The sequence below is a fragment of the Homo sapiens genome, chromosome 2, assembly GCF_000001405.40.
Source record: "Homo sapiens chromosome 2, GRCh38.p14 Primary Assembly".
Lineage (NCBI taxonomy): Eukaryota > Metazoa > Chordata > Mammalia > Primates > Hominidae > Homo > Homo sapiens.
In genome coordinates, this window is record NC_000002.12 from 145,739,947 (window position 1) to 145,754,975 (window position 15,029).

A 15,029-nucleotide genomic window follows, 5' to 3' on the forward strand; every position below is an offset into this window, starting at 1 on the left:
AAGAGGAAACTCATGCTCATGTGAGTTGCTTCTATAATTTTGGTCTCCCATGCAAAAGTTTTATACTTTTATTTAGTTACTGGTATCCTAAGATTACTGTTTTTGTTGTTTTTTAAAATAATTTGTGTAGAGTTTTCTGTTATTGTCAATGGAATTGATGGGCTACTCCACCAAGCCAGAAATGGAACTGTACAATGTCACTTTTGATATAAATAATTAGTGCATATAGTATTTGCTTCTGATTGTGTTATTTTGAATGTTATATCTCTCTGTGAACATTATATAATAAAAGACTCATAATCATCACCTGATTCCACTGAAAAAAAAAATAACCTCAAATCATCTATTCAAATTGTTGCCTCTAATGACTATCTTGTTTTAATTTTCTATTTCACTATCAAAGGTGCCATTTCACAAAAAAGTGATGAATCACTCAAAATATCTAGCTTTCATTGAAAGTTAGTGTATTAGTCCATTTTCACAAGCTATAAATAACTACCTGAGACTTAACTGACTCACAGTTCCACAGGCTTAACAGGAAGCATGAGTAGGAGGCCTCAGGAAACTTACGATCATGGCAGAAGGCAAAGGGAAAGCAAATACCTTCCTCACATGGTGGCAGGAGAGAGAGAGAGCACAAGGGAGAAGTGTCACACTTTTCAAACATCAGATCTCGTGAGAGAACACTCACTATTATGAGAACAGCAAAGGGGAAATCCGCCCCCATGATCCAATCATCTCCTACCAGGTCCCTTCCCTGACACGTGGGGATTACAATTTGATATGAGATTTTGGTGGGAACACAGGAGCCAAACCATATCAGTTAATAATAATAAATTTATCTTATACATTTCAGTAATATTACATTCTTAAGAAAGGCTTACTACTCTAAATGTGACCTAGCTTCTTGCTTTTACTGAGAAATGGGCTTTACCAGATGAGAATTTATTCCTAGATATCTAGGTTCATGGAGGTATTCAGTGGAAACCACTGAAAAACATAAGAAACATGCATGAGGAAAATGGCCATTCTCAGATACAGAAAAAGGTTGAGTAATAATCCCAAATAATCTTAACTAGATAGATATCAAATACCTTTCTTTTTAAAAAATTTATATATCATACATATATGAATACATATCTGTGATGCTTGGGGCCATCAAAATCTTGGCTTCTGGTTTGAGGGTTAATTTTAATAAAGTTCTGTGGGTACCTGGCCCAATGTCAATCTGCATGGCTGAGTAAATCTTCCAATATCTATCTCTTGATCAACAATTTTAGGGTTGCTCATTCTGTATAGCCACAATAATTAACCTAAAATTTCTGTTTTCACATAGCTCCATATTAGCTAAGGGGACAGGGAAACATGTGGACTCCATCATCTATAAGATAACTCTTCATATGATGAAATTTCTATTGTTTCCCTCAAACCATTTCTCCTCTAGATTAAGCAATGTCAGTTTCTTTCTTCGTGGTTTCTATTTTCCAATACTTTTCTCACATTCATTTTTTCCACTGCCGGATCCCTTTTATTGATTGGTGGAGCTCCCTATTGTTCTGGATTTGTGTCATTCTGACAAGTTTAATCTTTCAAATCAGTCCCAACTAACACTTCACATGTTCTAAACTTTGATTATCTCCATCCAGTTTTTACAGGTTATGTCCCTGTTTATATATTCACTAAAATGTTATCTTCCCATTTTCTTCTTTTCAAAGAGCAAACTACATTGCTCTTAAAAATATTATAGAATAGAAACCAACTTGTGACTAAAAAGAAAGAAGAAAAGGAGTAGTCACTATAGAAAATAACTCTACACTTAAAGTAGTGTTAAATGTGTGCCAAGCTGACTGACATGTATGACTTGTGAATATATGCCTTGAGTTCCCTTCTGTCTGTGTAAGGAAACTTTTAAATTTAGCAAGAGTTCTTCATATGGAGATCTACTGCTAAGAGGAAGGAATGAGAACTGAGCTGTTTATGAATAGTTATTAGATAGATGCAGCTTAAGAGCAGCTATTCACAGGAAAAGAAAAAAAATAATTCCGAATAGCTACCCATTCTGGCTAATGGCTGTGCTGGAACATATGCAAAGGTTGTGGAGGATTGAGGCCATTAGCTCAACAATGCAGGCCAACAGAATACTTTTTGCCTAAAACATATACACAATCATGGCAAAGGTTTTATTCAAACATCCGGCTTAGACATTTTTTTTTTATTAATTTGAAGGCACAGCCTAAGGTGAGATTTAGTGTTAACAGGGTTAGTGCTTTCATGAAAGTCCAATATTAATATCTGCATTATTACAGACTCCAGGTTGCCATAATCAGGAAAAGAAAAATGCTTCAAAAATATAAGAATCTTTAAACCTACAAAAACCTGAAATCCTAGGCTGTCATTGCCATCTTAATTGACCTCTTCCATGGAAGGAAAAAAAAAGAGTCAAGTGGAAATGTGAGCCTAGATTTACAGTTTTAACTGTAAGTTGCTTATTTTAGTTATACCGGGACAATTTCACTACTTCATTTTGTACATGTCATTTTTCCTCACAATTATATTCTGTACGTTGATTGAACAAGTCGACATAACATAATGCACGGCAAAAAAAAAAATTGTTTTAAATTATAGTAACATGATACATAGTTTTACAATTGGAAAAGTTTTGTGTTTCTTTCTCTCAGAAGTAGAAATTGCCAGAGATAAATTTATAGGTTTTCAATTTATTAAGGCATCATAACAATTACTTCAGCCTATTAATTATTTGACTACAGTATAATTTGTATGACTTAGATTCAAAATCCAAAACAATATTTCTAAAACATTAGTAAGTTTTTATTGTCAGTGAGTTTCTCGAGATCAGGGGCTGTATATTTTTCCCTTGTAAATTTCCAGGGCCTACCATGGTACCCTGAACAATATAGAAGATACAACATTTATGATTATTAAGTCAATATAGAGCAGTGACAAATTTTTCTACTGCAAAATATAATGGTATTTTGGAATTCAGAGTTAAATCTAAAAGTAGCAATTAGAAATAGGAAAGACCTTATGTATACATTTAAGGTTCTTTCCAAAATAATTTATTTTCTTTCCACAGTATAACGTATTGTTATTTTTTCTAGTTCAGTTTGAACTCAGTGCAATGGTTGTAGCTCTCGCTGTTTTATTTTGCCCACAGTGAGTAATTTCTAATGCAGCATAACTTTGACAGAAGTGTACTGAGGATGAATGTCAACAGGGACCTAAAGAATCCAGCTGAATGGAGAAGTTATTCCCATGAGAGGGCAGCTTCTTTCAGTTCCTCTTCATTTCCTTCCTCACTCCTGCCTGGGTATTTCCTTAGATGATACCTTTTATGTGTATGACAAACTCAAACTGGCCAGCCAAAAATTCATTTACTGCAATTATTTTGCCTTCTCAGGCAGCACCATGTAACAATAACAACAACAACAACCAAAAAAAAAAAAAAAAAAAAAAAAAAAAGAAAAACAAAAAAACTTCTCTATCAGTTTCACTTGGCATGGAACATTTTTAAGAAAGAAAGAGGAAGGAAAATCCCAAATAGTAAACAAATACAACGTTAAAAACTACATTTTTTTTTCTTCTGGGAAATCTAAACCTGTGGAAGAACATCATGACACCTTCAAACAGAATGCCCCTAGTGCAGTTAGAAACAGTAAGAACTTCAAAATTATTTAACCTATATCATATTTTTAAACTGATACAAACTCTAACACCAATTCTTATTGGATCTCTGACATCATGAGAAGGATAAATGATTTTTTAATTAGATGTAGACACCACTGTGCCTAGCATAGTGCTGAAAACAGAAGGTGGTACATAAATTGTTATTGAATAAACAGATAAAGATCTAGCTTTGAAGAAGTTTATGGAGAGAAAGGAGAAGCAAACATGTTTATGATTTTAGGTCTCATTGGGGACATGAAAGAAAAGAAAATGTGTCAATCAAGATAAATTACTATAGCATGAGTCTTTCTTCCTCATAGATTTCCCTTCTGTCATTCCAAACTTTCTGTTTTAGTAACCTGTTTAGACCCTTTATCACAGAATGTAAGGTGAGGACTGTCATGATAAGAACAAGGTATGATAAAGTTTCTGAGAATCTGCCTTTTAGCATCACTTATTTGGGAAGTCTCTTCACTTTTTTTCTCTAAGACATAGAGTTGGGAAATGCTCTTGAAGTATGCTTTACATTGCAGAATATTGATATCATAATTAACCATTCTTTTTTTTTTTTTGAGACAGAGTTTTGTTCTTGTTGCCCAGGATGGGGTGCAATGGTGCAATTTCGGCTTATCGCAACCTCTGCCTCAAGTGATTGTCCTGTCTCAGCTTCCCAAGAAGCTGGGATTACAGGCACCCACCACCACACCCAGCTAATTTTTTGGTATTTTTAGTAGAGATGGGGTTTCACCTTGTTGGCCAGGCTGGTCTTGAACTCCTGGCCTCAAGTGATCTGCCCGTCTCAGCCTCCCAAAGTGCTGGGATTACAGGTGTGAACCACCATTCCCGGCCCATAATTAATCATTCTTATCTGAGCATCTCAAATATTATTTTTGAGGATGCAGCCATGTCGTTAACTAGTGCCTTCTTCCAAAATGAGAATCATATGGAATTCCAACCATTATGTGTTTACATCTAGCTTTGTTGTACATTTCTTATCTCCCCCGGGAACATGAAGAAATGATGATCACATGAGGTGATCTGGTTCAGACTTTCCAGCAGAGATTAAGCATTCTAGGAGAACATGACTGCTTGAATGAGAGCAGTTACTTAACTGCTCTCCCCATCCAGCAAGTGATGTACCACAAAATTGAAAAATAATGTAAGCTGACATCACAGAATGCTTATTGCATATCAGGCTCTTTGCTAAATTCTTAGTGCAAATGTTCTCATTTAACCTCAAGAAACTCATACCACAACCTAAAAAGGATACACTAGCATTATCCTCATTTTACTCATGAGGACGCTGAGGCTAACTAAGGGCTAGTAAGTTTCAGAGACTATTTCAAACACAGGCCTCCTGTGTGATTCCAGAGCATAAACTCTTCTAAATACTGTACCTTCTCTCTTATCTCTCCACCTACACCTTGCGATGCTGCCACTCCATGAGATCCTGCAGTTTATTTTTCTTTCCCTTCATTATTACAAGTCTCCTAACTTGTTCCTCTTCTCTGTCTATTCCTTTCTAGAACTAAGCCACTCTCCTTGATCTTCCTAAAATGCAAACACAGTCAATTCACTCTCCTCTTTAAAATCTCATTATGAATCCCTATCGTCCACAGTCCACAGAGGAAATGTCAAACTCTTTATCATTCTATTCAAGGATGCTTGAGTCATACCATGGCTAGAATTTCTGAGCAATGCTGCTGCTTGTGGTTTCTAAACCCCAGCCTCTCATATTAGTGTTCTGAGTCTCTGATTAATATAGTTGTCTACCAACAGGACCATACTTGAGCTTCAAATGGCCTGAGATCTCTAATACCTAGAAGCACTGATGATGCAGAGCATTGACCAATCCAGGCAGATTATTGGAGTTATCTGGAGATAACTGCAGATTATCTGGAGTGCAGTGGCGCAATCTCGGCTCACTGCAACATCTGCCTCCTGGTTCAAATGATTCTCCTGCTTCAACTTCCCGAGTAGCTGGATTACAGGCACCAGCCACCATGCCAGGCTAATTTTTTGTATTTTTAGTAGAGATGGGGTTTCGCTATGTTAGCCAGGCTGGTCTTGAACTCCTGACCTCAGGTGATTCACCTCTCTGGGCCTCTCAAAGTGCTGGAATTACAGGCATGAGCCATCACACCCAGCCTATTAATGTACTCTTTTTTCTTTCTTTCTTTCTTTTCTTTTTTTTTTTGTTTTTTGTTTTTTGTTTTGTTTGTTTGTGTGTTTGTTTGAGATGAAGTTTCCTTCTTGTTGCCCAGGCTGGTGTCCAATGGTGCAATCTCAGCTCACCACAACCTCCGCCTCCCGGGTTCAAGCGATTCTCCTGCCTCAGTGTCCCGAGTAGCTGGGATTATAGGCATGCACCACCATGCCTAGCGAATTTTGTATTTTTAGTAGAGACAGTTTCTCCGTGTTGGTCAGGCTGGTCTCGTTCTCCCAACCTCAGGTGATCCACCCACCTCAGCCTCCCAAAGTGCTGGAATTACAGGTGTGAGCCACCCCACGCAGCCCATGTATTCTTAATAGAAACCACAATTACCTAATACTTTTGCTGGGATTCTGTCACTTATCTTTAATAATTAGACTCATGCTTAACTGTCCAGACTTAACCATGGCTACTCTCCTCAGTCACCAATGTTCCACTTTTACCTTGAGAATTTGCCTGAACACACTATGCTGGCTTGTGATTTCTATTGTTCAACTGTCCATTACACTCCCTCCATTCATCTTGGAAAAAATTTTCAAACATTTATTCCTCCTCTTGTCGTCACCTGATATACTTAGGTGTTCCTCCTGTTGTGTACCAGAAATACACCTGACATTGTCTCTGGACTGTGAATACTTTGAGAATAAGAACTATGTCTTCTTCATAAGTGTATATTTAGAAACCAATGCATTTCTTATATAATGGATGCTTAATCAATATTTGATGAAGGAAGGCAAGCAGGCAAGCAAAGAAGGAGGAAGGAAGAGGGAAGGCAACCAGAAAGAAAAGAAAGAAGGAAGGATGGTAGAAGAGGTGAAGGGAGGGAGAAAATGATATTAGGAAACACTACACAGTTATTCTATCTGTGATACATAAAAATGCCTGAATCTCAGTTTTCCTCTCCTGTTTGATTAAGCTGAAGTAAAAGAAGCAGAGCCTTAAGTATGCTCGACTATATAAAAGTAAATAGAGTATATCATAAAAGCCAAGTAAACTTCTCAAAGAGAAATAGAATTAAAAGTCAAGTGCATGCCTTTATGTTTTCTGATTCCCGCTGTGATTTAAGTTTAATCTCTGGGTTCCTAAACAAAAATTTCAGGTAACTATCCACTTAACATTTTTCTAAGGATCTAGACTTGCAGTAAAGATACTTACTTACTTAAATAGACCTACTGTATGAGACAATACTATTAAAAGAAAATGTACTAGTACTTTTGTGTATGCCTGAAGAAATCAGTTTGCTAATTTTAGGACTTTGCCAGGTGGACTGACGCTGATTTCCAAGATTGTCTGGCCCTATGTCTTTCTTGACATACTAGAAAGGACATTTGATGTACACACTGTGATATGTACAGGGAAACCATAGCCCTTGTCCTGAAATGACTTAGGAAATAAATTTGTCTATCCCCACTGCCTTTGATCTTATTAAAAGTCATCGAGGCTTATTCCTAGCACTGAGAACATAGAAACAGGCATTTGATTATGCGCACATCACATGGTGATACGATGGTCTTGCCACGAACTGGAAGCATTCTGTCAAATTAGAACATTGATTTCAATTAGTCTTTGTAAACAAGAGTTACTGATCAACTGTTCTAAAATAAAATATTATTTTTGCCCTCATGGAGTATAAAATCTAGAAAATAAATGAGGTAAAAAGCAACATCAGTTAATGCTAAGTATTCTGAAAACCAATAAAACATGATAAGAGAAAAAACTGTTGTTGTCAGGGGAGGTGAGCACTCAATTATGGACTTTCTGAGAACGTAGCTTTGGATCAGAGATCCATAGCGAGGTCATGAGATTTTCCAGGGGAAGAATGTGCCAAGTAGACAGAAGAATAAGTGCAAAGGCCCTGAGGTGAGATTGTGCTTGGCATGTTCAAAAAATGGCAAAGAAGTCACCATTGCAATCACAAGATCAGCTTAGGGATAAGGTTGCAGAAAACAGGGAAGGCGCTATTACGTAGGGCTGCGTAAGCCATCGGGGGAAGAAAAACACTGTTTTTTACTGAAAATTGAGTGAAAAGGCAAATGAAAGTTTTAAGAAAGGTAATGAAATGATCAGAGTTATTTACTAAATGAATCACCTTGACTAATAGGCAGAGAATAGATACAATGATTGAAAAGTAGAAATGTTCTTGAAGAGAGGCAATGCTGCCTCGGTCCTGGGGTATGGCAATGACAGTAGCAAGAAGTGGTCCAATGTAAGACATCTTGAAGAAAGGGCTAACAGAAATTATCAATGTGCAGTATGAAAAAAATGAGGCAGAAAGGATAATTGTAAAGTTTGGGGCCTTAATACCTGAAGTAATGGAGTTACATTTTATTTGGAAAGGTGAGCTTGGGGAAGAAGCAGATTTGGGGGATAAAACTATATTTTATTTTTGTTAAATTAAGTTTGAGATGCCTATTGAGCATCAATGAGACTCAATGGAAATCTTGAGTCTGGAGCTCAAGGGAGAAGCCTGTGATAGATACATTTTAGGGTCATCCATATAAAGATGATATTTAACATCTGCAATCTGAATGAGACCACCAAAGGGATGAGAAAATAGACAGAGAGGAGGAGTTTCAAGGGCTGAGTCCTTTGAAGAGTATCCAGCAATCAGTCAGAGAATGGAGTGATTATATTGTAAGAATGTTGAGACTATGTCCAGTTGTTCTTAGAAACTTGTGCTGGAGAATTATACTATTGGTAGGCATTGGTTACATTTTCTGCCCTCTTTTTGAGGCCTCATGAAAGAAAGTTCTTTCTAGTCCTAGAACTATGCATAATTATGTTCCTCCTGAAAAACTATTTTATTATATTATGACACTATGAATTATAAAATAGTTTGTAACTTTTTTTTATTTACAGTTGCTTCTGAAAGCATACAGTCTAATTGGTTAGACACTCCTAGCAAGTGTAAAATCCCTTAGGGAACAAATTTTATGTACTAACCTCGCTTGTGACTCTTTCTTATCTTTCCTACCGTTATTTTACCTTTGTTCTGTTCCCTAAACACACTTAATCTTTAATTTTACTTTATTATGTTGCAATTTTACATACTTATGTAAGTTACTGTATATCATTTCTGGAATTAATAAGAGCATTAATAGGTTTATAGACAGTAGAGGATAGACAGATGATAGATGATACATAGATTAGATAGATTGGTAGATAGATAGATACATTGATTGATAAGGCATCGATAGTTTTAAACACAGTAAGAGTCACATATTTTGGTTTCAGTGGCATTTTGAAGGAAGTGTGCTGTTGTTGGGCAGTGTCTTGTGATAGAATGTCAACAGGTCTGTATCTGACTGATAAAGAAACTCAGTCGGTTTCTATTCTGTGCATCATATCAAGACAAATGCAAGTTACAGGATGTAGCCCTCTTCCCTATACTATTCTCCACTTGCATTTATTTTCCCTACACATATTGAAATCTGAAAACTAGGCTGAACTAAACATTAGAGAAGCTTCTATAGTGAGTTTAGCTTCCCTTGAGCCATGTGCAAATGAGCTTATTTTATACATATATATTTATATAAAATCTGCTCTCATAATACACATTGGTCAAAATGCCTTTGTCTGGTTTAAAAAAATAATATGTGCACTCCACCAAAAAAGTTCTACAGCTATTTTTCACTGTATGTTCAAACAAACAAAGGAGACAAAAAGAGAAACTAAAGATTATTTTTAATGATAACAAGCCAAAACTTCACCTCGAAATTACACGTGCACACTGAATTCTGCACATGTCCAATGGAAGCTCTCACTTAAAATCAAATTATTTTTCAAACTAAAGCTGTGAAGACTTAAACTGGGAGAATCTGAGATCTGGCCCCTTTTATAATACTTTGAAGTACAGCTGGGAAGTTAGGATTTCTGGAAACCTATCTTTGATTTCCACTAAATTTATTGCATCACACATTTCAATTTTGCCTTCATTGTGCATCCATTAAACCATTAAAAAGTATACAGTTCTTGCAAGGGGTAGGATTGGGAGAAGTGGGGTTGGGATTATATTTAAGTCTTCACTGTGGGAAAATTCCTGAGTTCCTCATACCCTGTTAATATTCAAAGGTAGCTGTTGATCAGTTATCTGACAGGTAGAGAATAATTCACATTGCCACAAAATTACAGTAACCTTTTTGGAAATGTCTTGTGGTTGAACATTTTTATTCCTTGGTCAGGCAAATAAGATCACCATTATATTCAGAGAGGATGCTTGAGTCTGCGCCTCCTGTTTAGGAGAATTAATATATTCTTAGGACAACTGTCACACTACACAAACCCCGTGCTATCTGCAAACAGCTTGGGGAAAATATTTCCTTAGGTCTGACATGAACTAGGCACCTCTTTTATGATACTTTTTTGGCAGAGAGAACCAGCCTCAACAAACCAGCTTCTTTCCAGTCATACTGCGTACACATCCACCACCTCTGGCCTTATTTTTAAACCCAATGATGATAATAATTTTAAGGGCTGGGAATTATGAAGGCTTACTTGGCAGAGTCTTCCTATTGTGAATGATAAATCAAACTTGGGGTGCTTGCCAGCAAAAAAGTTCTTTCTTATCTCAGTAAATAAGTGAGGGTGGGCCTGATAAAGGCAAGACAATTTGGTAAGAATATTGTGATAGGGGCAACGGGTGGGCTTTGATATGGTTTTATTGCCTGCCTCATTTCAGTTTTTGGCTCACACACATTTGTCCACAAGCAGTGTCAGTTGGCTTTTTCCTTTCACAGCAGATTTTCTTACCTTGTAAGTAGAAACCTACGTTAACCCTCTGCCAGTAAAAATAAGAGAAGCATTTTCTAAGCATATTTCTAATCAGCCATTCCTCTCAATAAGTGGATCTGTAAGACTGCAAACATAAAACATTGTTTTCTAGTCACCCCGATTTCCTAAGTGTGTAAATCCCCACATCTCTTCCCCTTTACAGCGCGCTCTCACTTGCATGCTACTAGTTTGCATTCTAAAATGCCACCTGTTGAAAATAAAAGTCTCATGATATTTGCAAATTTTGGTTCATCCTGGTTTAGCTTTACACAGCAGTCTAATTTCACCGTGCTTAGCAATTACTTTTATTAGTTACTCCACCCAACAATCATATGATGTCAGAAACTTCATCTATTTCCCTGTCTTTATCTCTCCCTCTCATTCATTTCTTTCTCTTTTTTCTCACATATTAACACACATACACCCAGTTATTATCACTCAAATCATTTTAGCAGATCTCTACATGTGTCTCAAAATATTCCATATAACTCAAAATAGCAAGTACTTGAAAAGATAGTTATCATCCCTCTGAACAGGCAAGAGCAACTGAGACATAGAGATATTTCTCTGATTAGAGATTTGTTGTTTTAGAAATAAGTTACATAAAATGTCCTACTGCTTTTAGCTGTATCTGTTGCAACTTTGAGCAACTCAGTTTCTTCATTGGATAATATGAGGGCAGTGGATGAGGTCCACAGTGTCTCCCAGGGATATCGTTGTACAGTTCTATTTCCTCCAGGGCACATGTGAAATAAGTGAGGGATCTTTATGTAGACACAGCTTATCAGTCCCAAAACAGTGTCCCTCCTGTAGATCACACATTTTCTGATAATAACCTGAGGGGAAGAGGGGCAAGGTTGCCTGTTTCCTGACATCCTGCTTTGCATACCCAAGACACCTACTTTATTAAAAAGTTAACTTTGCTCCAAAAAAATTTTTCCCTAAGTTTTTCAAGATTGATTGTTTCCTGTTATTGTTGGAGGTTTGCTTTCTATGGTCATTTGGTAAATAAATAGCTTTATAGGGGAAAACAAATGGCCTTGTTTTGTTTTTCTACTCCAGGGTTTATGTGTTAAATTTCAGCTATGTCGTGTACTCACAGCTTAGTGCTTCAGACGGTTATGGGGAACTAGGAATTCTTAAAGGGGTAGGACAGGATGTCCTTTTCTATCGCTCAATGAGTCATGGAGGATGAATGCCGTTTCAGGGGTTCTGTAGTTGTGATTTCAGTCAAGTTCCAGTGGCTTTCAACCACTTCTCTAAATCTGAATGAAGAAGCAGCCACAGGGACTGTGTGAATTATGCTAAGATGCATTCCCGTTAAGTGCTGAAGTGGCCTTTGCAGTGAATCCTTAAACTTTACAATGCCAGCAACAGCCTATCCAGAGACAGGGCAGAACCCCGACATATACCCTCTTCCATGCCCACATAAGACATTTGCATTTATCTCCATTCTTATTGCATTGAGCATCTCTGTCTCCTGGTCAGCAACCTCTGTGTCTTTGGAAAGTCAGGCCTCACTCAGAGCATGCTCCCTTCTCAGGCATTGTGACAAGATTGTGTTTCGGTTCCAAAGGGTTAATCCCAAAGTGAATTCTTTGCATGTGTAATTCAATACTTCATAACTGCTGAAAATTGGAGTCCACATAATTTATTTTCTTTGGTCGGGCACATTTGCCTCATGCTTGGCCGGGGCTGACTTCAGAGAGACACACCTAAAACTCTCAAGTGTCCCAAGTGGCCCATGTCAGTTGTACAGAGAGATTGTGGTACTTGGACAGAGCCCAAGGATTAGGTGTTCCTGAGAAGGTTTTTTTGGCTCTACAAAGCCTTAGGATGTCATGGGAATAGGCTGCACTCCCTTTTCCCCCTTGAAGGCCACATATCAACGGGGTATCTAACCACTCAGAGACAGGCTCTACACAAAGGTATACATTAAAATAAATAGAACATGCAAGCAGAAAGAACTGAAAGAGAGGGAGGAATTGCTAAGTGGAGACAGGAAACAATTGCTTCATTGTTGAGGCAGTGATCTTAGAATTGCAGAGTACAGCCCCATCTACAGGACAGTTTGTAAAGTTGGAGCTTTTGGCTTAAAACACGAGACAGAACTTTACATGCAGTTTTTAATCCAGCTCACTTTGCATGGGCTTCACCTCACTGACAAAAATCCCACATTTTTACTTAAAAATAATTGTCCCTCTTTGATGAGAGGGATTCAGAGAGTGACAGAGAGATAAGAAGTGAGGAAGAACGCGGCTTAAGGGTGCTTTCATTTAGCTCCTTTTCTTATTTTGGCAGTAAATATTCTTGTCCTCGCAATACTCATTTAATCTCTTTCTTTGCTTTCCAACAACTTCCTCTCATTTGGTTTCCTCTCATTATTCCTTGATTTGGGAGGGGGCTTGTGTATTTTCACCATTCAAACAAAATAAAAAAGCTGTGCTTGTTTGAACACCATTTTTGTGCTGGCTGGCAAGCATGTGACTTTAAAGAAGGTTCAGGTTTTTAGGTTGAAAGGAGCTGAAAAACTTTAAAGTAATAATTAAAGCCAACTCTCTACGTGCACATTCCCTCCCCTCCCTTTATTTTAAAAACCTTGCCTGCCAACGCAGTGGCTGCTGTCTTAATGCTATTTCAACAGGAGACCTGGGTTTCAGGACAAGATCCAGGCCATAGGGGAGACTTGATGGCTCGGGGAATTAGTAATGGGATTTGGAGCCCTTCATTTCTAGGTCACTGGTTTGAATAGAGCCCAGGTCAGTAATGACTGAAAGTTGTTACCACCCGATGCCTGCTCTTCCTTAGCTGATCTGAGCTTGCCTGCCACTCCATCCCTGAGTGCCTGTGGCCCGTCTGCACTAATGGCATTCATTGACAAGTTGGCTAACTTAGGCCTTAAATGTGAGGCAGCCCAGTTTCTGCCATGTGCAAACACGGGGTCCACACTCTGCTGCAGCTGCTCTTCAGGGAATAATGCAGAGAGAGACAGAGTTACAAAGCTATTTTGCCTTTCTGATTACTCTGGGACCTAGCAAATCTATCTCCACTCACCTTAAGTCTCTGAGGCATTATATCTTCAGCCATTTAAAGGTAAGATCCAGGGAGAAGAAGGAACAGGCCTCAGAGGACCAAGTTTTCAAATACTCCAAATGTATGTATTCTGAGAAGACCGATTTAAAAGATCTGAATTAGGAGCTGCTGCTGCTGTTTCTAGTACCAGATAATCATGGCCCTTTTAAAATACCGCTTGCTGGACCCCAAACCTGTGCTTACAAAGTGTAGAAAGAAGGCAGATGTTTCCAGAACTTATATTAGGAAAGTGTTTGAAAAAATAATTACTGCTTTCTTTTTGTTTGTTTGTTTGTTTACAAGAGGAGAAATGCTTGCTGTAAAAGGATGGAGATAGAGAAGGAAGGACTGTGGAAACTCAAGAACAATGCACTACATTGGCAGTTCCTGCAACCTGCTACAGCCGGAGGCCAGTCTCTATGTGCAGAGACAAACTTGCTCTGGAGCTGTGGTTAAAGAGGGGGAGGAGCTGGAGTGGGGACTAGGTGCCTCCGGAAAGGATCTGAGGCCTTTCACACAGCTACCTGTCAGTCCCTGGGCCCGGGGCTGCAACCTACACATGCTTCACTCTGTCTCTCCAACCAACACCCCTTCCCTAGAGGCAGGTGAAGCCCCTTCCCAATAAAGAATTACATTATGTATCATCAATTAAGAAATACAATTATATAAAGACCCATTTGTATCAGTCTTATATTTAGATTTCCTTTTCAGACAAGGGGGTTTTTAACAGCATTGATTTTCAGTAATAAACCAATTACAGGTTCTTACCACATTGCTAAGATACTGGATGAAAAGTTTTAACTATAGAGTTCGGTTAAAGTGGGTAATGGAAAACACAGCACTATGTTTCCATTTGTTTCTGATTTACTACTTCCAGCTCTACATTTATTCCTCTTAGATTTCCTGGATTTTTGTTTACTTGGTTTTTGTTTTCATTTCATTTCCAAGACTATTTGTCTGCTTTTTACCTTTGCATTCTCTTGTTTTGTTTAGGAAGCACAGTCGTCTACATTTTTGCTGGAAATATGGAAAAGCACTATGGCTAATGGAATGACTTGATGCCAATGATCTACCCTTCCGCTAAGCCATCAGGCTCTGCTCCTCACTCTGACAGCAGTGGACTCAGCCCATGGCACCACCCCCACTTCCAGCATCACCTGCAGGGCCTGGGCCAGTGGTTCTTTGTGTGCCATCCATTTTCTGCCTTTTCTTAGATGAATCCAACTAGTAATTGATTTTGTTATTCAGAGAATCCTAGAATCCTAGTGTTGGATGGAGGCTTACAGATCAG

At 38.1% G+C, this 15,029-nt stretch overlaps 2 annotated features.

Moving 5' to 3' along the window:
• Positions 9,205-9,284: a silencer, noted in NCBI's record as "silent region_11994". NCBI's record gives its function as "represses an Ori minimal core promoter by ATAC-STARR-seq in GM12878 lymphoblastoid cells {active_cell/tissue: GM12878}" and the evidence as "EXISTENCE:reporter gene assay evidence [ECO:0000049][PMID:35858748]".
• Positions 12,089-12,138: an enhancer, noted in NCBI's record as "active region_16608". NCBI's record gives its function as "activates an Ori minimal core promoter by ATAC-STARR-seq in GM12878 lymphoblastoid cells {active_cell/tissue: GM12878}" and the evidence as "EXISTENCE:reporter gene assay evidence [ECO:0000049][PMID:35858748]".